At 38.2% G+C, this 27,949-nt stretch overlaps 2 long non-coding RNA genes across 8 annotated transcripts in view, besides 1 other annotated feature; one reads left to right on the plus strand and one right to left on the minus strand.

The window, feature by feature from the left end:
* SCHLAP1 (SWI/SNF complex antagonist associated with prostate cancer 1) overlaps positions 1 to 27,949 on the plus strand; it is a 224,836-nt gene that overhangs the window by 23,236 nt on the left and 173,651 nt on the right. For 4 of the 7 annotated variants that reach the window (NR_104323.1, NR_104319.1, NR_104320.1 and 1 more), the window contains exon 2: positions 9,257 to 9,351. This is a non-coding gene — a long non-coding RNA (SWI/SNF complex antagonist associated with prostate cancer 1). Of the gene's footprint in view, positions 1 to 9,256; positions 9,352 to 9,851; positions 9,953 to 27,949 lie in introns of all 7 variants that reach the window. The other 3 variants (NR_104322.1, NR_104325.1, NR_104324.1) reach the window with 1 other exon arrangement.
* LOC105373771 (uncharacterized) lies at positions 4,628 to 8,310 on the minus strand. Its single transcript, XR_923638.3, has 3 exons — positions 8,224 to 8,310; positions 7,565 to 7,734; positions 4,628 to 4,913 (listed from the first exon to the last, which is right to left on the minus strand). It is a non-coding gene; the product is annotated as an uncharacterized LOC105373771 (long non-coding RNA).
* Positions 27,569 to 27,769: a silencer, noted in NCBI's record as "peak3955 fragment used in MPRA reporter construct". NCBI's record gives its function as "represses an SCP1 promoter by STARR-seq MPRAs in K562 erythroleukemia cells {active_cell/tissue: K562}" and the evidence as "EXISTENCE:reporter gene assay evidence [ECO:0000049][PMID:32103011]".

The raw sequence follows: 27,949 nt of genomic DNA on the forward strand, positions 1-27,949 counted from the left end.
TATACATAAAAGAACATCACAGCATAGATAAAGTCTTTGCCTTCAACGAGTCTAAATTTTAACTTATCCTAATGAGGGGGGTGAAGTATGAGACAATGCATTATTCAGGCTATAACTCAGCTATGCTAAAGGAAAATATGTCCCCCAAATTTATTGGCTTCTGAAAACAATGGTTTATCTCTCACTTTCATTCCATGTCCTTTGCAGGTGAGCTGGGTCTCTTCTATGTATCTCTTCACAGGCTAGGAATCCAGGCTAGTAGGGTAGCCACTATCTCAAATATTGTTGGACACTAGAGCCTAGAACAAAAGTACCCTAAAGAATCTTGCACTAGTAATTCAACACCTTGGCCTAGAAGAGATAATCCTTACTTATACTCCCAACTCAGTGACCAGAATCAGTCATGTGAACTTATTCAACCACAAGGAGACAGATATACCTGGGAGGCAGAGAAGTAGAATGTCTGAACATTTTTAATGACTACCAGAGCCATGCAAGTTCTGAGGGTGAGGAGGAAATAAGTGGAGACCTCTATTGTGTTGCAATCCCCAAACCCTGCAGAATAGCACCCTTGGAGATCTGGGCATCCACGATAAAGCTTGCAAGTGTAAGGTTCCAGAAAAGGGGATAAAGGAACAGAAGCAGGGGGAATTATATTTATTGATTATCTACCTTGTCTCAGTCACTTTAATTTTGTTGTATTGTTCAAATATTTAAATTTAAGGGACTGAGGAGGAAAACAAAATGTTTAAGAGGAAACAAGGGAGCTAGGTGTATTCTCATATGGTTTGGCTGCGTCCCCACCTAAATCTCATCTTTAATTGTAGCTCCCATAATTCCCACGTGTTGTGGGAGGGACCTGGTGGGAGATAATTGAATAATGGGGGTGGTTTCCCCCATACTGTCCTCCTGGTAGTGAATAAGCCTCATGAGACCTGATGGTTTTATAAGGGGAAACCCCTTTCACTTGGCTCTCATTCTCTGTTTGCCTGCTGCTGTATAAGACATGCCTTTTGCCTTCTGCCATGATTGTGAGGCTTCACCAGCCATGTGGAACTGTGAGTTCATGAAACCTCTTTTTCTTTATAAATTACTTAGTCTTGGGTATGTCTTCACCAGCAGCATGAAAACAGACTAATATATTTTCCAAATGTAAACCAGGCTCCCTGAGCAATCTGATTTAGCAATATGGTACCAGAGATAACATGGCACATACAAACTGATAGCTATGTTTTCTAACTAGGTAAATGCATTCTCCAAGATTTACCTTGAGTCTCCTACCAGAGACATAAGGAGAAGATATAAAGTGTGACTCATAGAAATACCTAGGAGAACCAGACGTCGTGGCTTCCTAAAATTCCAGCCACTCAGGAGGCTGAGGTGGGAGTATCACTCAAACCCAGGAGTTCAAGGCTGCAATGAGCTATTATCACGCTACTATTATAACACTATAACCTAAGTGACAGAATGAGACTCTCTTGAAAAAAAATAACTGAGAACAAAGCTCACTTTGCTTTCACGCCCACAGCTTTCATTCAGAAACATGTCAGGATTTTGTGTGTGCTCTGCCTCCAACCTTCCTACAAATGTTAATATTCTTCCCACTTCTCTTATATTCAAAGTGTTGAGAGCCAAGGCATGCAGCTTGGAATGAGGCCAGCAAGACCTCTTGGTTTTCTTTCACTTTTTCTCTTTCTCTCTTCACTCACTTTTCTTCTGCTTGGATTCCTAAATTGCTTCTTCTTTCCATGTCTTTCTGATATCTCCTTGTCACCAACCCATTCTGTTAATTACTCTTCTTCTGGTAATGAAAGAATAAAGCACTTTGTGGGTTTCAATTTAAAGTAATATATTTCTTCATTTGGTTCTTTTTTCTTAAACTTTTTTTCTTTTTACTTGTTTGGCCTCGATGTATTAGAATTAAAGAATGTAGTAAAAATTTAAAAGATATGGATGATGCCATCAAGTAAACACATTTTGGAGCAAAGAATTAGCTAGACTAAAAAGTTCAAAGCATTTGGAAACTATTCCCTAAGTTTAGACATCAATTTCGGCCCAGTTTTTCAGAGTTGAACATCAAAAACCAAATTTATAAGTTGGGCAATTTTTACATATGCCCATGAGTATCATATTTAAAATATATAGGGCTATATCTTAGGATCCCTGAAAAGAAATGAAACTTTTGGAAGAAAAAACAGGATTGGTTAGAATGCTGCAAAATTACATGCATAGGGAAATTTGGGGGACAATATGCAATTATAGTTAATGTTTGATTATCAGATAGAATTTTGGAGGGTGAGTGGAAATAAGGTAAGCTACAGATAACTCAATACCATGCACAGTTCAGATCAAATCACAGTTGACTGTTCATTAGCTTTCAGTAGATTAGCCACTTTGCAGATTAGTCAAATATCTGGGGTGATCTTACCTCCCAGGAAGGCTGAGTCATTAGGTAATTAGAAGATTGGAGTTGAAGGACAGCTCTTCAAGGTGCAGAAGCTGAGAACCCAAACTCTGGGTAAGACTGCTGATGGAGTGAATGATGTATGCCAGATTCCATGTGTCCAGACCTGGAACCGAGTCGTCCAGACCTGGAACCCAGTCCTCCAACCACTGGGTTGCTGATAATCAGGGCAAATAATCACGGCTTGATTGCATGCCCTTGTAGGGGAAGATACCCGATTCCAAATCCCTGCTGTACCTTAACTACCTCCATCTGAAAACAGGTTAATCCACCTTCAGATGATCAGGAATTAATTGCATGCATCCCTGTAAGTGCATTTTAATACATAATCAGAAAACAAAGAAGCAGTTTTTTATATTGAAGCCCTAGAAATTGTTTAGAATATAACAGAAATATGTCTTAGCCTCATTTTTTAATCCAAATGTAAAAATACAAATAGTATTGAAGAGCATCTCTACCCATTGTTCAATATACACCCAAAGTTGGGACCATTTAAGTCTTCTAAAGCTGTTTGATTTTTAAATGAACATGAATTTACTTTTCAATGGATATCTATCATTGTCATTAATTGACTCAAATAATAACATTGAGCACATATTATACATCAAACCAAAAAGCAACCACCATTAAAAATATATAATGAGTTATGGCTTTGTAATAGAAACTTATATTCTTAATACCAAACATTTAGGACTTTGTAGCCAAAGACTGACAAATGCAAAACAAAAGCATGTACTGGGCATGTAGGACTTAGAATAAAAACACTACAAGATCATGAGTCAAAGGTTTATTTCCTAAAACAAAGAATATGTTGTAAAATCAGATTGTACAATAAAGGGCAATTTGACCATTGTATCAAAATTTCAGCTTTATCGAGAGAGAGCATTTCTATTTGTGATAAAACTGAACAAGTTAGAAGAATTGGGCAATGCTTTTCAGTTTTCTTTACAGCCTGCCTGAACCTTCTCTCCTTCTCTTATCTGACTAAAGATATCCCCCTTGGGATGTCTTAATCTAGAACATGAGTTGGCAAACTAGGGCGTAAGGACCATAACCATGCCTCAAACTAAGAATGGCTTTTGCATTTTTGAAAGATTACAACAAAAAAACAGAAGAAAGATTACCAAAAAACACCAGACTATACATGGCCCACAAAGTCTAAAATACTAGCTGCCCACTGTAGGAAAAAAATCCCTGAACCCAGTGTACAATATTCTTAGACTCCTCCCTCTTATTTTCTCATCAAATCCAAATTACTGTCTGCCTCTTAATACCTCTGCCACAAGTCCCTTCTTCTTCATCCTTCTTGCTAACTGTTGGTTATTACTACATTGCCTCCTGCTTAATGTTGTTGTCTGCCTCCAGTCCCAACCGTCTCCATTATAGACAACTACTATTATGTCACTAGAGTAATTTCCTAAAGAGCAAGTTGCCATGTCTTCAGTAAATCTTTTCTTGACATCCCAAGACCACCACCACCTACATTCTTGCTTCTCCCAGTCCCTGCCCTTGTGCTGATGTCTGCTGCAACACTCTTCACATGAAGGATTTATTTGTATGTTAGCTTTCCCACGAACCTGAGAGCTCCCTTGAGTGTAGATACAGCCACAGCACCTGCCACACAGAAAATGTGTGAATGACTTTAATTCTGTGTTCTCTGGATATAGATTTTAACAGGGTAGAAAACACCCCCAGGATTCTGGAAATCTTTGGAATAAGGAGGTAGGTATGTGCTAGCAAAAAGATGTTTAGAAAAGTTCACGAGGAGAATTGAAAACCAACTAGAACTGAAAACCACCTTCTCATCTGCTTTTCATGCTAATGCCTCTCTCCATGAATGCATTTAAATACATAAATTTTCAACTTAAATTGTGTGCAAGACTAAGCTGTGTACTTTATATATTTCACCAGTTATTTTCATTTTATAAAGTTGGCATATGTGTGAATATAGAATTGAAAATTGACAGAATGGGTGCATTTTTCGCGTGTAGAACAAGAATTAAAGAAAAGCAGGAGGACAGAAGGAAGACAGAAAAATTTACCACTAGCTAGCTGCTTCCCCACTTTTAATTTCTTTCCCCAAGCTCCAGAAACAAAGCAATCTCCTTGCCTCTCAGCATCTTTTTTTATTAAGCAGGGTAAATTGTGCTATGGCACAATTTTAAAAATCACTCTGAAGTCTTGAAGTCTTAACACAACTGAAGCTTATTTTTTCTTCTCCAGTGAAATGTGTTCATTTTTTGTCAGCTTTAGGCTGGTTCATTTGGACACTCAGGATCCTAGGGTTATGGTGGCTCCACCAACCAGGCTTGTACTCCCTGAGATATGTGGTCTTCTTTCAAGAGAAGAAAGTACATAAAGGCTTCATACTTTATTACTCTGTACTGTATTCCATTGCTCAGAACTAGTCACATGGCCCTGCTTAACTGCAAGTACAGTCTCTCATGTACTAGAAATGAAAGGAGAACCAGATATTAGTCAACAGATATTATGGATTTCATATCCATTTGTTCAATAAGATAAACTGTTATGTTGGATTCAGTCTCATCTTCCTTACACCTTCAGTTTACGTTGAGATTTTTTTTCTAAGTAGTCCATTAACTAGTCAAGAAAATAGCAGACATTTATTCCTGCGACAGGTGCCTTCTCTGATCATCTGAGCAATAGCCTCTGTTGGTTACCCAATTCTCCTGATTTTGCTGGAATAAAGGGAATTAGAACAATAGCCCAAAAATTAGAAATTAAAGGAGTAGCCTAGAGCTGTGAATATTTTTGTGTATGTGGAAAGGGCTGAGGTGGATAGCGTGGAAATGGGCTATTGGGAACTGGGCAGCCATGAGCTACCTCTTTATCCTTCCTTATTAGTGTGAAGGCAAAATAGGAGACCACCTCCTCACTCCCCAAAGCTTTCATAATATCCCTCTTGGGATCTCCTTTTTCTTTTCTTGACTACGTTGGATGTTCATTTAGCATGCTTCTACCTATGTACAAATGTTAAGAAGGAGAAGGCCATATGGATTCAATTATCACAGGCTCCCCCATCTCATAGAAATAAACTGGAAAGACTTAACTTTAAAAACCTTTTTGTCGTTGGCTCTCTGTGCCTTACCCAGATATCTGGATATCTAAAAGTGAAATGAATATGTGTTGAGTAGGAGGAGATTACCATGGTTTAGATAAGTCTATGTTAAAAGTGTATAGAAACATAATTTGTTAACCAAATGAGCTCTTCATTATAAAGTTAATGCAGTAGTTGCCTGGGGCCAGATTTCTGGCCAATTACATCTCCTGGAAAGAAAAAAAAAATTGAAACTTTATACCAGCTCTACAAAGGGAAAAGTAAAAAAACAAGTGAGCAGAGACTATTAGCAACATGATCTAACTTCTAGAAGGAGATAAAGGCTTCCTGCCCCCTGAGAGGAAGAAAATCTTACATGAGTTAAGAGTACAATGGGCTGGGCATGGTGGCTCATGCCTGTAATCCCAGCACTTTGGGAAGCTGAGGCAGGTGGATCACGGTGTCAGGAGTTCAAGACCAGCCTGGCCAAAATGGTGAAACCCCGTCTCTACTAAAATTACAAAAATTAGCCAGACACAGCGGCAGGCGCCTGTAATCCCAGTTACTCAGGAGACTGAGGCAGGAGAATTGCTTGAATCCGGCAGAGGTTGCAGTGAGCCAACATCATGCCACTGCACTCCAGTGCAGCCTGGGCGATAGAATGAGACTCCGCCACAAAAAAAAAAAAAAGTACAATGAACTCCTAGGACTCCCTAATGCCAGTTGCCAAGCTAGCCTGTAGATGGAGTGAATACATTTCTCCTTGCCTGACATGTTCAAATTATGGATATTTTCTCTTTTTTCTCTCCCATGTGTCTGTAGATGGAACTGGGATAATCTCCTAATTGTGAAAGCCTTTTTCTTCAGATAACACTGTCTTCTGCCACCTCTTGGAAGGTCTACACAGGAGATCCTAGGCTGCTTCATGTGTGTTATGTTTGGCCCTCACTGTGTCAGCTTACATAGAATGTTTTTACATTTTGAATTAGCTGTTACTATTTAAAATTCAAGAGATTTAATATAAAATTCAAGATGCCTGATAACTCTGGTAATCTGGGACTGAATTCCCACATGGTGACTTTTGGCTGAAGCTAAATAACCCCTGCTGCCTTTAAAGGAGGCAAGAGCTCTCCAATACTCTAGTATCTCCACTCCCTGTTGCCTTGTTAACACTGAGACTGGGCATTTAATTTCAGATTTGCCTTGATGTTTTCCTTGGACTTAAGAAGCAAGGGGCATATTTCCAACTCCCAGCCTGTTTTACGTATTCATTTTTCCTGCTGTGCCCCCTTTAAAGATTGGAATTTGTAACCTCTAACTAGCAGAACTGAGTTTTAGCCAAAGCATCAAAGTTAGAAAGGGACTTTCTTGGACTTATTTTTTGTGTCCTAGTAAGCTAAGATTCAGGTACCATCTTAGAGGTGAGAAATCTAGGAGTCTGCTTAGCCTGCTTCAGCCTCGGCAGAAGGAATCTGAAAATGCCCAGTGTGTCAAGTCAGGGATGGGTATGGACTGAAGACCCAGCTAGTGTGCATTTAACAAAGAAATTGAACATGGGTTATCTGATTTTTTAGGCTTTGGTCACATGTAACAAAAAGAAACATATCCAAAATGTTCTAACCAAAAAGAATGCATTGGCTCCATAATCAAAAGCTTCAGGAATCAGTCTGGCTTTAGGTGTAGCTAGGTCAAGGTTTCAGTTGACACCATCAGCCTGAGAGGCTTCTGTCTTTCCATCTTTCGGCTCTGCTTCTTCTGGCTTCACTCTCAGATAGCCACCCTACCTCATGGTCACAGATGGCTTCTATCATGCCCAGAAGCACATCCTCATCCAGTAGGAGAGAGGACTCGCCTTTGTCCTACCATTCTAGCAAAAGCTTATCTACATTACATCATCTTTGCTTGGGACAGAGTGAACCCAGTCTCTGTGGCCAGGGAAATGACAACAAGGGCACCAGTGACAGGTCAGATGCTCTGCCAAAAGCAAAAATGGTTGGAACCAGAAGAATAATTCCCCCAGATGGAAATCAAAGTATAGTTACCAGGAGAGGAGTGAATGGATCATGGATAGCATCAGTAGCTGTTTTCAGCTGCACCTGGACAGCTTCTTAAAAAGGAAACTCTTCAACTCCAGCACTGCCCAGGTATTCTGATTCATTAGATCTGGAGCTGGGCCCAGGAGTCTTCTTATTTAACAAGATCTCCAGGGATTCTGAGGCAAGAAGTCATTAATTCAAACTTTGTGAAACACTTTGAGACTGCAGTGTCTTATTACAACTAACAATACATTTATAATTATATGCCAGGAACTGTATTGTGTTTTATAGGCATTATTACAAATAATCCTTAAACAACTCTGTGAAGTGGATACCATTATTATGTCCATTTTTAGGTGAAAATGTGGAGCTTAAAAAGTTTAATAATTTGCTCAATGACACATAGATAGCAAGTGGCTGAGCCAGAGCTCAAACCCAGTGTTGTTCCTACTCTACTATAATGCCTACATCCCTTTGGATTTCACATAAAAATTAAATGAGGGAGATAAAAGTGTCAAGACTGTGTGTGCCCTCAGTAAATATCAGTTTGTTTATTTTTTAATCTGTGCATTAAATCATAAAAGATCAAGTAACAATTTCTTTTTCTATCATTTTATTGCTGCTGCTGATCCATTGAGAACTTTCGCTATGGGCCCCCTCATTACCTTTGCAACAGATGCTAACCAATGCTGGAAAAACTGTATTCTTCAGAATGTTTGTGATGCCCATGGCAGCTGATATTTTCATTTGAGAGTGGTGCTCAGGTATTGGAAAGAGGGGAATAGAAAATACATTTGTTACATGATTACATGATCACTATGTGGTAGTTATGTTTTAGAAAATATTTTGCCAAGTTTTAACAACAGTGCTACGTTGTGTAGATTAAGAAGTTCTTTTCCCAAGGTCACTCTGCCCAGAAAAGTAGAGGATCAGAATTTGAGCTTCTACCATGCCCCAGTGACTCTACAACTTCTGGATATGTCATTTCCTTGTAAAAGTATAGCCCCCGTCATAGATATAAATTGGTGCTGACTCCGCTTGAGTGAACTTTATTAGTGAAAACCTCAGTATATTTGGCATATTAAATGTTCAAAACTGAAACACAGGAAATCATCAAATGTGAAGAAGGAACACTGGCAATTTTACTGATTAGCCTTACAATACTGGAACAGTGTTGATTATAACAATGATAAACACATCTTCTTTTAAATACAATTCTAGTTGACCTTTTTCTTACTCTAGGCTAGAAATTGGGAGTTCAAACTAATCAAACGCTAATGTAATAAGTTATCTAATAAGTAGGACATCACAGGTTTTGAATGCATATCAGATTTTTCTCTTTTCCCTGAGAAAAAAAGAATCATCTGGAATCCTCTGCTGGGTGAGAGCAGGTTCTTATTAGAGGAATGTAATACATTTATGATGAAGATAGCGGTTTTGCAAAGTTGCCTTTCTCATTTGCTTTACATTCAATTCCTTCAGAAGAATGGGAAAAATTCAATTGAATAGGAAAAAATCACTGAAGTTCCAGAACTTGATCAATTATATAACAATATTAAGAAACTGAATGTATTTTCTTATGTAATCCAGTTTATCTTTCCAGGTCAGTTAACATTGTTCCTTCTGAAGCACAGATGGAAATTTTTTGAGTTTTTCCCAAACTTTCCAGAGTTCAAATACCCTGTGTTTTCTTTTCAGTGCCATCAATATTCTGAAAATGGCAGTGATTTTTATTCAACCTGTATAAGGCACTTTCACCATGTACCTGGAAGCAACATCTACATCTTTTTCAGGTAATAGTTTCCAAATATTAATTCATAAATATTGCTATTGTTAAGAAATACTAAATAGCTAGAAGTAAGTTGCATATTCTCAAAATGCCTAGAAATTCACTCCAAAATTTTGCAAAATTATTAGAGGTTAGTGCAGATAACATTGATGCTATTCTCCTTCCTCACGGCCCAAGCTCAGTTATTAAGAAGTAAATACCCAAAATGAAACAAAACATGTATGTTCCCCAAATTTCTCTAAAAGGCACTCTTTAAACAAAAAAGAAGTTTTTACCTCTGGAATTGGAATTATAAATGGCAATTACAATCCCAGATTAGCCCACAGAAACCTAACCATCAATACCAACTGTGTGAATGCTGGCAGCTGGCAGAAGGGAAGCAGACAGGAAATTCTCCCTTCTGAGGCACAAAGCTAGCTTTATATAAAGTTGTTATTTAGGCAAAGATTTTCTTTCATGTCACTATTCTTTTTTTTCCCCTCATCTCATCAACCACATTCCTAGTTTTCCTCTGTCCACTATGAAGGACTTTGTGACCACATTCTGACTCTGATGAGATCCTGCCCAGAATTGACCTGAACCCCAATAATTCACCTTTCTCTCAGGTAATGTTTTCAAATCCAGGTACTCTTTCAAGGTCCAATTCATACAGCTGTTTTTCTAGAATTCCTTTTTTTACCCAACCCTTAGCTCCAACTCTTGTCTTTCTCTGAATAGCTACAGTGAGTACTATTTGAATAAGCTATTTATTATGTAAACATATCCTAGCATTATTGTTACAGGAAAGGGGTCCCAATTCAGACCCCAAGACAGGGTTCTTGAATCTCAGGCAAGAAAGAATTCAGGGCAAGTCTATAAAGTAAAGTGAAAGCAAGTTTATTAGGAAAGTAAAGGAATTAAAGGATGGCTACTGCGTAGACAGCAGACCTGAGAGGGGCTGGTTGCCCATTTTTATGGTTATTTCTTGATGATATGCTAAATAAGTGGTAGATTATTCATGCCTCACCTTTTTAGACCATATACGGTAAGTTCCTGATGTTGCCATTTCATTTGTAAACTGTCATGGTTCTGGTGGGAGTGTAGCATGGAGGACGACCAAAGGTCACTCTCGCCGCCATCTTGGTTTTGGTGGGTTTTAGTTTGCTCCTTTACTGCCACCTGTATTATCAGCAAGGTCTTTATGACGTGTATCTTGTGCCAACCTCCTAACTCATCCTGTGACTTAGAATGCATTAACCATCTGGGAATGCAGCCCAGTAGGTCTCAGCCTTATTTTATCCAGCCCCTATTCAAGATGGAGTTGCTGTGGTTCAAATGCCTCTGACATTATGACACTGTTTACTGACTTGAATCATTAGTTAAATCATATATTGTATGTAGGTTTTATGTCTTTGTATATTATCTCCGCAACCATTATAAATTGTACCATGAAGGATAAACCTTGCCAAAGAGAGGTCTGGCCTTTGCAGTTGGCCCCTGGGAGGTAACCTCTAAGCCCGTGGAGTATCCTGCCTGATTAGAACATCTTTGTTTACTTGGGGTCTGAAGCCATAGGTACCTCAGACTACAAGGTGTCAGATTGACCTCTGGAAGTGCTGGAAACTAAGATTAGCCATATGAATAGTGGCTGGGTGACTGGATTGCAATCAAAACTCCAGACACCAAAGCTCAAATGAGCTTCCCAGTGGGCAATATTCCATGTGTATTTTCACACAATGTTCCTAGAGAAATAGGTACTGCACACATGCCTTCACTGGGAGAGGATAACTGGAAGCCCTGTGCCTTAAGGTCTCCTGAGCCCTGCCTTGTGTGCCTCTTTCTTCTGCTGATTTTAATCTGTATCTTTTCACTGTAATGAACTGTAACCATGTGTGTAACAGCTTTCCAAGATCTGTGAGTCCCTTTAGAGAATTATCTAACCTGAGGGTAGTCTTGGATCCCTGATCTCACAGTACATGTGAGAAGTAAAGGTGGTCTTGGGGACTCCTGAGCTCTGTGTACTAATAAAGGGAAGGGACTGTACTAAGTCATACTTCTACATATACATAGTCAAAATGCCTAACGCAGAGTTTAGGACACATGGTTGAATAATGATTTAATTCTATTAACAACTTAACTGTTCATTCTTGTCCTCGAACTCCACTTCCATAGCACCTTACTTAAAGATAACTTCTTATATCTGAGGCAGTAAAGAGCGAAAAAGAAAAATAATTTGAGTAAATATGCTGAGTGTTAAGGAATTCTACAGTACCTGGTGATAATAATGACCACTTAGAACATATAAAGCACCAAGTATGGTGTTAGTCCTTTACTCGCAATAACTCTTCATTTTCATTGCAACCATTTGAAGCATCATTGTTAAATTTGCCTCTTTTACAGATGAGAAAACTGATACAAAATTTTTAACAAAGATGCATATTTAATCATTAATATAAACTTTTAAAAGTCCACATACCCTTTATCTGTTTATAGCCACCACTCCATTTCCCCATGCTGCTTCACAGCAAACTTCACTGCAAAATCCCTCCCACAGGTTGACTATATCCTGTCTCCACGTCCTCGTTTCTAACTAATTCCTTCACCTACTCCAATGACTTATCTCTACCTTTCCATCAAAATTGTACTCGTCAAGGTCTACAAGTCTTTTCATGTGGCCAAACCCAGCAAACATGTCTTAGTTTTCATGCTACTCATCCTCACAGTTTATCGTGTACTCCTCCTTTAAATATTTTTTTTTCTTTTGGCTTCTGATTTTTCTGTTACTTACTAAACTTAATTAGTCTTTGATCACACCTGTTCCTCCATCTAAACTCACTGTTAAATGTTGGCCTGACCAGGGCTTCCTCTGGGGCTCTTTGCTCTTCTATGTGTACTGTCTCCTTAGGTAATCTCATTGCCTTGACTTACAAACATCTATACGTTGATGATGCTCAAATTTTCAGTAAAAGTCTAGACATCTTCCCTGTGCTTCAGGCTCAAAAATCTATGTTTCCCCACTTACTCCTCTTATCAACATCATTGTGTAAAGGAGAATATGGAAGTAGGAAAGGCAGAAGCTCACTCTCTTGGTGCCTCTGTGACATGGTGTGGCATCGAGGGAATCTTCACTCTTCTTACTCCAGTCATGACCCAGGATATTTGTGTTCAACTGGAGTGGATAAGAAAATTGTAAGTCAACACAATTGTTTTTTATAAGGAGTTCTTAATGCATAACTCATATATGTACATACATTATATAGTGGCAATTTATGTGATATTTTATAACTTTAAAATATTTAGATCCAATTCAACTTTCTAAAAATTGGTGTGACAATTAAAGTCAACAGTTTTTATCACAATCTTAGCATGAAATCCAATTCTCTTTTAATAGTCTACAATGTTATCAAGCACTGCTTTTTCCCCCCAGCCCCCGCCCACCACTGGCCTTCTTTCTACTTCTTAAATGTTATTTCCTACTCAGAATATTGGTACTTGCTTTTTCCCTCTGGCTGGAATACATTTTTTCCCTCATCTAGCATGGCTGACTCCTTCTCAATCTTGAGGTCTCAACTCAAATATCATCCCCTCATGAAGGCTTTTCCTGACCCCTGTTCCCACTCAGATAGGAGCCCCTAATTAACCTGTATTACATGACTTTGCTTACTCCCTTTACAGAACCTACCACACTAGATAATATTTTTCATTGTCTTCCCATGCCTCAACATGAGCTCAGGGAGAATAGGTTCCTTGTCTGTCTTGCTCACTGCTATACTGCAGCACCTACAATAGTGTCTGGCCCCCAATAATTAATTTGTTCAATGGATTTGTTTTACTAGGCCCCTATGCCAGGATTCAAACTTGGGTTGAACGTGACCACAGAATTTAAGCTCTTAAATACCCTGCTTGGCTAACATTTCATCTAAAGCAAGTGACAGGAGATAGTGAGGAGATGACAACAGTTGGCATCAGTCAGGGAAGATTTCCTGGAGAAGATGTGAAAGATTTGGATACAGGTAGAAACTTAAGGAAGAATATTTTAGGCCAAGTGAACACACAGAACCAGAAACTAGAAATAAGCTGGATTTATGAGGTAGATGACTAGAAAATCTTAATTATAAGGTTAATTGTAATTATAATGGAATTAGTATTGAACAGTCACAACATAGCCTTTTGGTGGAAAAATTTAATTCAATCCTATTTTCTCCCAGTTTCCATGCCAAATTTAAGTTACATTGGGAGCTGATGAGTTCACATGTACATTTATACATATAAATGGCAAAGCTGCAACCTTCAAACTCAGGGTCAGTATCTGTTATAGGAGGTGAGTTAAGGGCTGCTGGTTGCAACCCACTAATGCCTGAAAGTTGTTTAGAACCAAAAACCCAGAAACTGGGGGCATCCTCCTCTCTTATTTATTTTACTTTGAGCTATGCCAGAATATTCAGCATGGCTGATCCTAGTGGAAAGAGCGATGGAACTGGGTGGAGGAAGGAGGTGGCAGAGAAAAGGTTGTACAAACAAAATATTTTCACTTTGCAAATAAAGCGATTTAAGCATTCTCCAAAATGTTACTGCTTCTATATTTTTCATCTTGTTTCCCAGAACATGTCACTTTCATTTTGAAGTCTAGTGTTGTTAAATAGGAAAGCCTAATTGATATATAGAAAGAAGTATTAGTCACCTCACCCAAATGCCTGGGAAAATATCCTTAGCTATACAACTCATGACTCACAGATGAAGCTGAGGGCCAACAATAAACTAAAACTCTTACTCAGAGATAATGAAGCATGAAATGGCACTTTAGAATTAAAACTCCATTGAGAGAAAATGCCTTTCCAAAGTACAAAAAAAAAGGGTTGAAATGTTGAATCAAACTATATAAGGTACATTTTCACAGGTTACTAAACAATATATATTATGCTGTGTAGAGAGGTTATTTTTCTTCCAAATTATGTGAGTCTTTGTTTTCTCAAATGTTACAATATTTTCTAATAGTTTTTTATGAAAACAATTGAATGATAAGTTTGAATTAAAATCATTTTTTTAGAAAAAAAAAATGCATCTGGGCCTGGAATTTTAGTACATCATTTCGTTATTGTTGTCCAATTCAAATATATGTTCCTCTAGCTACCCTCATAAAATATTTTAGACTTCTCTGCTTCTTGGTATGTCATGTGTATGTAGGTCCTTTGAATTTATTTATTTACTCTCCAATCCATAACCTAAAACTTCAATTATTCCACAATTCCGAATATTAAAGAAATATGGGCTGGGCATGGTAGCTCGTGCCTGTAATCCCAGCACTTTGGGAGGCCGAAGCGGGCAGATCACGAGGTCGGGATATTGAGACCATCCTGGCCTACAGGGTGCAACCCTGTCTCTACTAAAAATACAAAAATTAGCTGGACGTGGTGGTGCATGCCTGTAATCCCAGCTACTCGGGAGGCTGAGGCAGGAGAATCGCTTGAACCAGGGAGTCAGAGTTTGCAGTGAGCCGAGATTGCACCACTGCACTCCAGCCTGGCAACAGAGCGAGACTCTGTCTCACAAACAAAACAAAACAAAAAGAAATATGTTCATGATCTATTAAGTAAATAATTTATACATACAAAGCCCAAAGGAACTATTCATGGCTCTCTGCTTTTAAGTGTTATTCAAGAAAGAAAGAAGAAAAATATGTTTATTCAAATATTTTATTTAACTCTTAGATACATCATATTATGTCTATAAACTAATTTCATTCTTATTCCTCTTGATTTTGCTGTTATAATTATATTAAAATGCATGTATTCATTCATGATATTTGCCGATTTTTTTAATTGCATGAGAATAATGCATTTGTGTAGTGGGATGCAAAAAATTAATAGTGATTTTATTTTTCTTCCTAAATAACAGGAAATGTTTCCAATTATTTTTTAAAGCAGGACATTTGGTAAAGATAATGTTGCTATAGCAACTTTAGAACAAGGCTTAATTTGGGCCACAGTGAGTGCACCCACTTGTTTTAAATTCATCATTCAGTCTAATCTAGCATTTACATGTAGAGCTTCATTTACAAACAACTGCAGCAGGAGAGCCTATGTGGAAAGTGCTTTAGGGATACCGTGCCTCAAATTTCCACTTGCATTCGTGGCATTTATTAAGAGCCTATATCACGGTATCAAATGTTCTAATGTTGATTAAGAAAAAGATAAAACCTTAACTTCAATTTTACTCAAGATTAAGAGTTGTGAAAATCAATTTGCTCTTAACATGTCCGCGAAAATATTTTGACACTAAAATACTCCTTACTTTCTAGTTTTAATCCTTACAAAATGTTGGAATGGAAACATTTATTGCATTTGTCTGAGGAAAGATAGTTTAGCTTAGTCTGCTTTAGCTTATTTCCACCGAAAGAATACTATGTACCTGTAAGACTCTTAACCAGTGTTGTGTCACTTAACAATGGGAATACATTTTGAGAAGTGCATTCTTGGGTTATTTCATCATTGTGCAAATATCATAGAGTGTACTTACACAATACATGGGATTTCCCAATTGCTATGGTTTTGTGTCCCCTCTGAAATTCATGTTCAAAGTGGATCCCCATTGTAGTGGTATTAAGAGGCAGGGCCTTCGGGGGATGTGATTATATTATGAGGACTCCAGTCTCATGCATGGAATTAGTGTTCTTATGAAAGGGCTTAGGTTGAATGGGACACCCTGTTGGTCTTCTGTCCCTTCTGCCACCTAAGGACACAGTGTTCCTCAACTCCAGAGAATGCAACAACAAGGTGTCAACTTGAAAGCAGAGAGAAAGCGAGAAAGCAGAGAGAAAAAGAGAAAGCAGAGGGCAGCCCTCAACAGACACCAATCCTACCAGCACCTTGATCTTGGACTTCTCAGCCTTCAGAACCATGAGAAATAAATTTCTGCACTTTATAAATTACCCACTCTCAGGTATTCTGTTATAGCAGCACAAATGGACTAAGACAGAAACAGTACCAGAGAATAGGGGTGTTGCTATAACAAATACCTAAAAATGTGCAAGCAGCTTTGAAACTGGCTAACCGGTAGAGACTGGAAGGGCTTGGTGGTGCATGCTAGAAAAAGTCTAGATTGCCATGAACAGAGCATTAAGGGCAATTCTAGTGAAGGCTCAGGAGAGGAGATCTGTAGAGAACATGTCAGTCTTAGAGAATATCTCAGTGGCTATGAACTGAATGTTGGTAGAAATACGGACAGTAAAGGCCATTCTGAGGCGTTCTTAGACATAAATGAGGAATATCTTACCGGAAACTGGAGGAAAAGCCATCCTCATTACAAACTGATAAAGAACTGTGTTGACATGTCTCTGTGTCTTACTCCTTTTTACAAGAAGAATTTAAGAGAAATGAACTAGGATGTTTAAAGGAAGAAATCTCTAAGAAAAGTGTTTATGGTGATGCGTGGCTTCTCTTAACTACTTATAGTAAAATTTGGGAGGAGAGAAATGAGTTAAAGCCAGAATGTATATCAAAAGAGAAGAATAACATAAAGATTTGGAAAATTCTCAGCCTGGCCAGATTGTACAGAATGCAAAGTTGTGTTCAAGAGAGAACACCAAGGGTGTGCCAGGAAATTTTGTAAAGGAGATTAGTGATACGCATCTAGACAAAGAAAAAATGACCCCAAAGGCATTTCATAGGTCTTTGAAGCTGCCACTTCTATTACAGGCCCAGAGTGCCAGGGCCTTTTAGGGCAGAATGGTTTCCAGGGAGGGATCCAGGCTACCTGTGGAACCTTTGGGCTTGCTGCCCAGGGCCACCTCAAGTTTCCACTCCCTGCATTCCAGTGCAGCACTCCTTGGCCACCCTAGCTATGGTTCAAGCAGGTGCAGATGTGGCTCAGGCTGCCACTTCAGAAGGTACAAGCTACAAACTTCGGCAGTGTCCACATGGTGCAACCTCTGCGGGCATGCAGACTGCATGAGCTGTGGAGTCATGGCTACCACCACCTAGATTTCAAAGGATGCCTCAGAGAGGCTCAGGATCTGGGCAGGGAACTGCTGCAGTGTTGGGGCTGCCGCAGACTTTCCAATGCAGCAACACCTAATGGAGCTGTGGGAGCAAGCTGTTCTTGAGGCCCCCTAACTATAGAGCCACCTGTGTATAGTGCCAGCCCAGGAAAGCTGCAGGCATGGAGCTTCAGTGTGTGAGAGCTGAGAGCTGAAGTTGGGGCTACACCCAGCAAATCAATGTTGGTGGAGCTGCCTGAGATCCTGGGGGCCCATCCCCTGTTTCAGTGTTTCTGGAAGGCAGGACATGGAGTCAAAGAAGATTATTCTCAAGCCTTAGGATTGAATGTTGTTTGCATGGTTGGGTTTTAGATTTACTTGGGACCTGTTACTCATTTCTTCTTTCCTATTACTCCCTTTTGGAATGGAATAATCTATTGTAGGCCTGTCCCACCATTGTATTTTGGAAATACATAACTTGTTTCATCTTACACATTCACAGCTGGAGAGAAATTTGCCTCAGGATAAATTTTACCTTGAGTCCCACCCATATTTGATTTAGATGAGACTCTGGACTTTAGACTTTTGAGTTGGTGCTGGAATGAGTAAAGATCCTGGGGTTTATTGGGATGGAATGAATGTATTTTGCATGTAAGAAGGACATAAATTTGGGGGGCAGGAGGGAAGGAATGCTATGGTTTGAATGTGTCCCCTCTAAAATTCATGTTGAAACTTAATTCTCATCATGATAGTATTAAGTAGTGGATCTTTTGGGGGAAATGATTAAATCACGAAATCTCCACTGTCATGAATGAATCAGTGTCTTTTTAAAGGACCTGAGGGAATCAGCTTAGGCCTTTTTTGCTTTTCCTCTCTCCCACCATGTGAGGGCACAGCATTCATCCCTTTTTGCCCTTCTATCCCTCCTACCATGTGAGGACACCTTAATGGTGACATCAATGAAAAACAAACCCTCACCAGACACCAAACCTGCCAGTGACTTGATCTTGGACTTCTCAGCCTCCAGACCTGTAAGAAATATGCTTCTATTAGTTATAAATTTCCCAGTCTAAGGTATTTTGTTACAGTAGCACAAGCGGACTGAGATGCCAATTATACAAAAGCATGCAAAACGTGCTCTGGTGTTCAGTTTCACTGTCATAAAGGCTGAACTATTTAACTTACCATTGTAGGAGAGATTCAGTCTGCTACTATTGATGTATTGCCTTTGAGGCAGCAAATATCTTCACACACTCTTTTACCTCTGCCTAAAATTTGTTCCCTGCCCCTCTTATTAAGATTTAACACAAATGTTAGGTCTTCTAACAAGTCTTCCCTGAACTGCAGTTCTCTTTCTCAAGAGAACCGGGCCTAGACTGGACTCTGCTATTTCAAATACTTATTTGCATATCTGCCTCACTGCTAAACAGACAGTTCTATAAGGAGTACATTCTTTAACTTGGAGTTTCCTTCTCAAACTAAGCAGTACCTGGTAAGTAGCAGGTGCTACTTGCAAATTTAAAAACAAAACAAAACGTGTTTCAATTAATCAACACTAGCTATTGAAGAGCTATCATGAACCGTAATAAATGTTATGAACTTACCATTTGTATTTGGGCCATAAAGTGTATATATCTATTATCTCTTGAAATGACACCTAAGCATATAAGAGTACAAAGCAATAACTGTCATCTATAAAATGCCTAAAACCAACAAGAAGAATAATAAGCTATATAAGAATCTAAGAGATGGTCTGCTGGGGAGAGCAGAGGCTGTTTCAAGGAAAGGAGAAGATTTTAGCTAAACCATAAGTATAATTAGAAACTGAGGAGGTAGCCAAAGGGTGTGGAAAGATTTTTCAGAGAACAGCAAAAGCAAAGAGCAATGGAAGCAAGATCATTGATCCTGGGATAATCAGTACACAAATGTGGCTGGGTCTAAAGCTCCCTCAAGGAGAGGGGATTCCTTACATTCCAGAAGAGTGGTTAAGACCAAGCACCTTTAAAAAAGGCTGTGGAAATTATGAAAAGGTTTTAAATCATGCACCACAAGGTTCTGGTGTACAGAGCTAGAATTGGTTTAATATTTACTATTAGCTATTACTTTCCCCTCAGAACATTGTAAAAAACAACAATACATAAGAGTTATAACAAAGTAAAATATGAAATGGCAAACTCTTTCTCAAATCCACTATTTTCCCTCATAAGACTATATTTAGTAAACATTTCAGACAATACAGAAATGTAATAAAACAGTATATTTTAGGAAAAGGTAAATTTAGTTGACATCTCATTTGCCCTGAACTACTAGCTCCAGACTTTCAATCTCATTTTTAAAATATTTTCATTGATATGATAAAAATGCTTAAAACACACACATTACTATTTATATAAAAGCGAATTGAGCTATTGACAGAGATTTGAAGATATCTTTGTGGTTCAAGAAAATTACAGAAGGAGGCTCTTAGATTTTGTATTATTAATATATAAGTATGATAGCCAAGAAAATATATTTTCTAGAATAAAAAGAATAGGCTATTGATATACTTGATCTAAAATAGTCATTATGAGTACTTCACAGCAAGTTTTAGGAAACAGGTAAAGTTTAAAAGAAATCATTGAGAGAAAAAAGCGTGGGAGGCTGTAAATTTAATTTAATGAGAGGTCAAGACATGTAACTTCACATAAAAGACTAATTCTGGGGAGAAACATTAAATAAACATTATGTGGGAGTCAACTACTACAGTGAATGAAGACTGGATTTGGAGAACGGTAAGGAACACAGGTGGAGGTTTGATAAATGGAATAAATATAAAACCCTAATGTTTAACCACGAAATCAGTGATCTGAGAGGCTGATACACACTATGACAGACATGAAAAGCATAAATGAAATAGCATAAAAAGCCATATACCAAATTAACAAAATATTATGATTCAGGATCAAAAATAGCTAGTCTATAGCTAGGAATAAGAAAAATAAAAGGAAGGGAACTTGGCTTTAATAACATGATATTAAACCAACTGTTAGGAGTGAAGACAATAGAAAATGGAAAGAATAATTCTATACTCTTGCCTCTCAAGAGCATTGAGGATTAATAAGAAGATAATACATACTTGCTCGATACAAAAGGAAGGTGATGAAGCTTCAATGGAACAATATTTTTATAAATTAAAAAATTTGGTTTTTTTGAACATGAAAAACTCTAAGCTTGGAATTTTCCATACTAGAGCTCTAGCAAAACAGTGTTGCTGCTATTTCAGGGGCTGACATAGTTTGGGTGTTTATCCCCTTCAAATCTTATGTCGAAATTTAATCTCCAGTGTTGGAGGTGGGCCTGGTGGGAGGTATTTGGGTCATGGGGGTGGATCCCTCATGAAAGACTTGGTGCCATCCTTGTGGTAATGAGTGTACTCTCTCTCTAATAGTTCCCTTGAGCACTGATTTTTAAAAAGAGCCTGGCACCCTCTCCTCTCTCTCTTCCTTCGTCTCTTGCCATGGGATGACTGCTCCCCTTCACCTTCCACCATAAGTGGAAGCTTCTTGAAGCCCTCATCAGAAACAGATGCTGGCACCATGCTTCTTGTACACCCTGCAGAACCATAAGCCAAATAAACCTTTTTTCCTTGTAAATTACCCAGCCTCAGGTATTCCTTTATAGCAATGCAAACGTACTTAGATAGGGGCTTACAATTCTGTTTTAAAAAAATAATCACAGATCAGAATGCTCCCTTAACTATAGTAGTTAGTATCCTTGTTTTCGTTTCTTTTTAGCTCTACCGAGAATATATACTGCCTCATTCTTCTGAATATTGATTGTCTTACATCTCTTAGAGTCATTAATTCAAGCCCTAGCCTCATCTATAATAGAGAGGCATATATAGAACATATAATAACAGTATGTGATGCATGAATTTATATACCATTTACCATATTCTAAGCACTACACTAAACATGTTAAATGTTAGCATCTCACATGTGTTCAATACAATACTTTCTGTGACTTTAATGTGCTTGTCGTATTTATCAATTTATTGCCACTCAGCTCCAAATCTATTCTTAATTCCTTGTTCTGCAAAATTAGAGCTGAACCATTTAAATATTTTTGTCTTTCCACAGTGGCACAAGGTTAAGCTTTGCTAGCAGACACTGTTTGTAGGGACACTGAAGGAGGAAGGAGTGTTTCTCTCCTGGGTCTGGTGTTGTCCTCTGGTCGGGCACCTGCCCCGAGGGCATCTTTTCCAGCTCTGCCTCCTAGGACACATAGCAGCTAGCAGCCCTGGTGGCCAAAAATTTTCCCCAACACCCCATCAGATAACTTCATAGCCAGGTGTTACTGACAAATCATCTCCCTATGGATAGCGCCCCTTGACATCTTCTTGAGCCACCTTGCAGCAAGCTAATTCTACTGGGTTTTCCATGGGTGGTCTAGCTCAGCCCTAAGGAGATGGCTGCTCCTCATTAACTGCCACTGCTGCCTCGTTACTGCTTACCAGCTAATCCTCTGTCACCCCCAGTCCCCTATAGAAGATAATTCTTTATATTAAACTTACTTTGTTCAAATAACTGCGGGGTTTCTGTCTCCTGCTTGGAGCCTGACAGGCACAGTACTTTTTTTTTTTTTTTTTTTTTTTTTTTTTTTTTTTTTGAGACGGAGTCTTGCTGTCGCCCAGGAGGGAGTGCAGTGGCGCGATCGCGGCTCACTGCAGGCTCCGCCCCCCGGGGTTCACGCCATTGTACTGCCTCAGCCTAGGCACAGTGCTTTTATAAGGTAGCAATTGGTAAGCCCATTTTACCCATAGAAAACAAACTAAGACAGTAACTTTCCCAATGTCATATGGCTAATAAATGAAATAATTGAGATTTGAACCTTGTTTTTTTTAACTTCATAACTCAAGTATTCAACCATATTTATGACCAGGTATAATTAAAAACAGATACACCTTTATTCTCAGAAGTATCCCAGTTTGTTTGATAAATTATATTATTATCCTGGTTATATTACACTATTTCTCATTTTGTTTAAACCCAGTAGTTTTCACAACTTTTTACCTAAAATACTCATCAAAAAATACTCAAAAAAAATACTCATCATTCTGGAGATTCCAAGAGTCTTATAAACTCTTGTGTCAGGAACCGAGAGCTAAAACCAAATATTACGACAAAAGATACTCCTATCACTGAAGAAGCTGCAAGGGTTTGGGGAGCTCTCTGTCAGAAACTGAGGATGAAGACCAAATACACATTTCTGATTATACTACAATATCATACCTTGTGCTGCAAATGGGAATGGAGCTCATGTGTGTGTCATGCTCTGTTGTCCAGTTCCTTTAATTCCCCTCTCTCACAGTCTAGGAAGCATATTCCAGGACAAGTGAGAGAGATGTTAATATGAAGATAACTTTGAATCAACTCTAATGTATTCTAAAGACAGTCTTCTACAAATTTTTGTACTTTGTCTACCATCAGTAATTAATGACTTATGACACTTACAGTTGATTGTAACATATGTATTGATAAAACTGGTCATTCTAACCCATTCACAAGGAAAACAACCTCGTTTGTAAGCTAAAGCTTCACAATTGCTTTACACAGGGAGTTGAGTCCAATCTCCCTCCTCCACCGCAAGACCCCATTCCAGTGATCCCTTTACCTATCACTATGGCCCCCACAAGATTAAAGTTTGCCTTACCATCTTTAAAAAAATTTCTTTACATAACATGCAATTTATTATATATAATATATAAAAATTATCACCATCCAATTAATTTTTTTAGTGTACAGTCATTTTCTATTAATATACTTTAAAAGGTTTGATTTATTCCAAGTGACAAGTTGCATCTCAACCAGTACAATTGCTTTGATGCTTTACCACTATCAAAACATCTTGAATATTAACTTTTTACATGTAAATAGCTCATGTAGAGTTTTCTAGATATCAAAGACACGCATACAATGGTACATCTCACTGAGAATATCCTATACTAAATGAAAAGTAAATTAAAAGTTAAAAATTTGGGGACCTGCTTCAGGAAAGAAAAGAAAAATTGTTAGGGATCTTGACTTTATATCTTCAGATAAACTACTAATTTTTTCCCCAATAGGACAGAAATAAAGCTTCCTTATTAATATGCTGAGAGTTTCCAAAGCTTTCCTAGGGTTATAAAATGCAGTTTATTCTAGCTTTTACATCTGATGACAAGGATTTAAGCAAGGAGTTATAGTTCTCTTCCACAAAGTTTTGAAACCAAAAGACCCAGGAGAGCAATTGAATGTTTGGTAATTTGGGAATGAGACATTGTGGCATGGTAGAGGCACAATAACCAAATAACAATACATTTGCTGAGGAGACAGATGCATAATATTCCTTCATGCAAGCATTGTCTGCAGTTACCCAACATACTTACATCAATATTATATAACCTAAGCATCTAAAATGTGCAAGGCATTCCTAATCTGAGACTCCCATTTAGAGTTAGGAATACCATGTTGAGAATCCAGCTTGGTTACCTTAAGGATTGTGTAGCCCACATGTTTGATTGGGAACAAAAAGACTTACACTAGGCCTTGATTCACCCAGCATCTATCCTAGGGCTAACAGCTGTGACCTGTCACTCTTCTGAGGTTTTGCCATCGGCTTCTCCATGGAGCTTTGGCTTGCATGAGCCACAGCATCAGCTTGTGACATACTAGTGGGGCCTGCCTCCCTTAAGATATTTAATATCTATCACAGAGGCATCAAGTGCCAGACAGCCAAAGAATACTAATGAGTGCTGTAAAAGCAGGTTTAGGAAAGATTACAGAAATTGTTTGCAGAAGGCTTAAAGTGGATATTGTCCTAACTGCTCACATGGGTCTCATTTGACTGCTTCCAGAAATAAGACATTATTCATATGATTATTTGATATCATTTGGCAATTTGGATTCTCTCCAGATATTGTAGACATTCCAGATAGTCCAGATATTCCCTACTCTCTTCTAGAATCACAAAACAGTTGGTAGGATTGGCTATATCTTGAATGCTTATCAGGGCATCTCTAGTTCTCAAGGTCCAGTTCTCAACTGAAATATGTATTTGAAAAATATTTTGCATGTTTCTCCTTAGTGAATATTTGTGCTGGTTACAATATAAAGAGTCTACCTATATGATTATGAAACCACATTTTAGTAATATGTTTTCAAACAAAGGGTCATTATATGCCCTTAATAAAAATAAGTATGTATATAGTGAAAATATATGTTTCTCTTATATTTGTTTCTGGTAGAATGTTTGTTCATAAATATCTTTGCATATTTACAGCCACAAATTGCAATAAAAAAATAAGAGAAAATAGGCAAGCCATGCTATAGATTGTATAGAAAATGATAAATTTAAAATCATACAAGAGCTACTGAATTTTTTCAAGGAAGTGGAAAGGTATGATAATAAAACTTTAGCTTCATTTAATTTTTTTTTCCAGAGTCTCGTTCTGTCATCTAAGCTGGAGTGCGGTGGCACGATCTTGGCTCACTGCAACCTCCACCTCCCAGGTTCCCAAGCAATTTCCTGCCTCAGCCTTCTGAGTAGCTGGGACTACAGATGCCCACCACCACGCCTGGCTAATTTTTTGTATTTTTAGTAGAGATGGGGTTTTGCCATGTTGGCCAGGCTGGATTTGAACCCCTAACCTCAAGCTATCCACCCACCTCAGCCTCCCAAAGTGCTGGGATTACAGGCATGAGCCACTGCACATGGCCTGCATTTGATTTTTGACAAAGCTTTAAGCCTTTTGTTTCTTTGTAAATTAATGGATACTTTCCTGATTGCAGAAAAACTCAGACTAGGGAAACTAGTGTGTGTCCTTCTCTTCGGCCACACTTTTACTGAGGTAACAAGAGGGTAATCTCCAGACCATTTTTGGCCCCTTGGCCTGGTGCTCAGGCAGTAGTAGATTTTGCCTGCTGACTTCAGTATCAAGGCCATTCCCGGATGCTCCAAGCCTTTTTGCTAGTAGTTGGGTACAAGGAAGGGATAAAGAAAAAAAAATTAAAATGCATAATATTAATAGCTCTGAGGTGTGGCTACTTAAGCTGTTGAAAAGGCCGAAAAGGGCAACAAGCATTTGTGAAGTAATTAAAAAAAAACTTTCAGTAATTACTGGTCCCACTGCTTTGACTGTAACAAGCAAAATATTCTGCATTCCATTATACATCTTGTGATTCATCTCATCTCCCATCAGACAGAGATTAATACTGCAATACGAAGAAGGAAAATGTGATTACACCAGATTTTATTGTAATACCATTATCGATTTGTTGCCATAATAATGTAGGATGCACATTGCCTTACTTCAGTAAGTTTTTATTTTTCTACATTTCCCCCTAGAGATTTGAGAGCTTATATGCTACAAAATTGCAACCTTGATTCTGCATTTGAAAAACCTATCCATTGTTCTAAAGTTACCTTTAATCTGACTATACAGATAGTCATAAACTATCATGATAATAGAATTATACTTCTAGTACTATAAATTTTTCATCACTGGGCTCCTGTCTCAAGCACACCTTAATATTTAAGGTATATCAAGATACACTGAAATTTTTTTTCTCCATCTTAGTCATTTTTATGTGTGCGATGTAATGGATTCTGCAGCATTATAGATTTCAAACAAACGTCCAAAAAGCAATGATGCCAGCCTTCCTCACACTAACTCGCTTGAAAATATAAAACATTAGCTAGTTAGTCTTATTAAAGCAAAGCAAAAAAGCTTCCAACTTTTTAGAGCTTTCTATTTTTCCATCAATGAGTGTTATTTAAAATATACATTTTCTTCTCACATTTTTGCTTGTTCCTTTGCCAGTAGTAATATTTTGTTAATACAATCCAACTTTATCATAAATTATTACTTAATATGTGGATTCAGATGTCTTCTGAAATATTCTACTTTATGTAATAGGAACCTTCATAACACAAATGAGATTCTTTGTCCACTCTTCTACTCTCTACCTTCACTTTCTCCGTAGACCACTTCATCTGTTCTCATGTAGGTAGTGTCTGTTTACATACTACCTACATGGAGATAGTTTCCAAGTTTGTATCTCCAGTTCAAATCTTTTCTCTGAATTAAACTCCTGTAGTCAGCTCTCCAGTTGACATTAGTTGTCTCAAAGGTGTCTCGAACTTCACACATTCAAAGAGCTTTATTTTATTTTATTTTTAAGAGCCAGGGTCTATCTCTGTCACTTAGGCTGGAGTGCAGTGGTGCAATCATAGCTCCCTGCAACCTCAAACTTCTAGGCTCCAGCCATCTTCCTACCTCAGCCTCCCAAATAGCTAGGACTACAGGCACACATCACCACATCTGGCTATTTTGTTTCTTTTTAAAGTATAAACCAAGTCTCACTATGTTATCCAGGCTTGTCTCCAACTCCTGGGCTCAAACAATTCTCCTGCCTTGGCCTCCTGAAATGCTAGGATTACAGGCATGAGCCACCATGCCTGACCCAAAGGGAAGCTTTTGATTTATCTTCCAACTTGCTCCTCCTCCTCATCCCCATTTCAATTATTGTCATCACTATTCACTCAGCTATCTGTGCCAGAAAGGTAGGAATTATCCTTGGTTTTTCCCTTCTCCTCATTCTCTGCATCCAATCCATCAGCAAGTTCTGATGGCTTTATCCTCAAAATATATTCTAAATCCATCCACTCCACTCCATACCCACCCTGGCCTCCCCTGTCCAAGTCATCACCTGGAGCCAATTAACTGCTCTCCCAGTGTCCACCCATGGTGTCCTCCTATACTTTCTTCACAGAGCAAAGCATTTTTTTAAACCATATTTAGATCATGTCACATCCCAACTTCACTTAGAATAAAATAGAAAACTCTTGATGTCATATTTAAAATCAGATCTAAACTTCTTACTCTGATTTACAAAGCCTGGCTTCTACCCACCTTGAAAATATAATTTCCTGTCATCTCTCCTTTGCTAAAAATGTACCAGCCATCCTTCATCTCCCACCTCAGGGACTATATGCTCTTTCTCTGCTGTGAACACTGTTTGAATTCCAGGATTCTTTTCGCCCTCCATGCCTCTGTTTAAATATTACCTCCTTAGAAAGGTTTTCTTCCTGACCACTTCATTTAACTATGGTCCTCAGCCCCCTGAATCACCTCCATTATTTTCTTTTACAACACCTCTGCCCCCGATTTCTTTCATAACACTTTTCAAAAATCTGTGATTATTTATCTAATTTATTCACTTTTTAATTAGCTGTCTTTCTCTGGGCTAAAATCTTCTTTAGGGCAGGGATATTGTCTACTTTGCTTATATTTGCAACCCCAGAGTCCAACAGTGTTAGTCACACAGGAAATGATAAATAAACAAGCAGACAGACCAGTGTTACGTGGATCATCATTGACCGCAGTCTTGTCTATCACTGCTTATTCACTTCTGTCCCAAGCATTCACTTGACTTCCATTATTCAAAATAAACATTTCAAAGGTATTTTAAGTTCTATTACGTTATCACCATTGACTTAAATTTAAAAATAATAGAAGTGTGTTCACTAATCTTCCAAATATTTAAATTTGATAGCTTAGTTCTTTTCTCCATAAACCAAGTGTATTAGTTTGTATTCAGTGACAAATGACCATAAAAATTCCAGTGAC

This window comes from Homo sapiens, chromosome 2 (assembly GCF_000001405.40).
Source record: "Homo sapiens chromosome 2, GRCh38.p14 Primary Assembly".
NCBI classification, from domain to species: domain Eukaryota; kingdom Metazoa; phylum Chordata; class Mammalia; order Primates; family Hominidae; genus Homo; species Homo sapiens.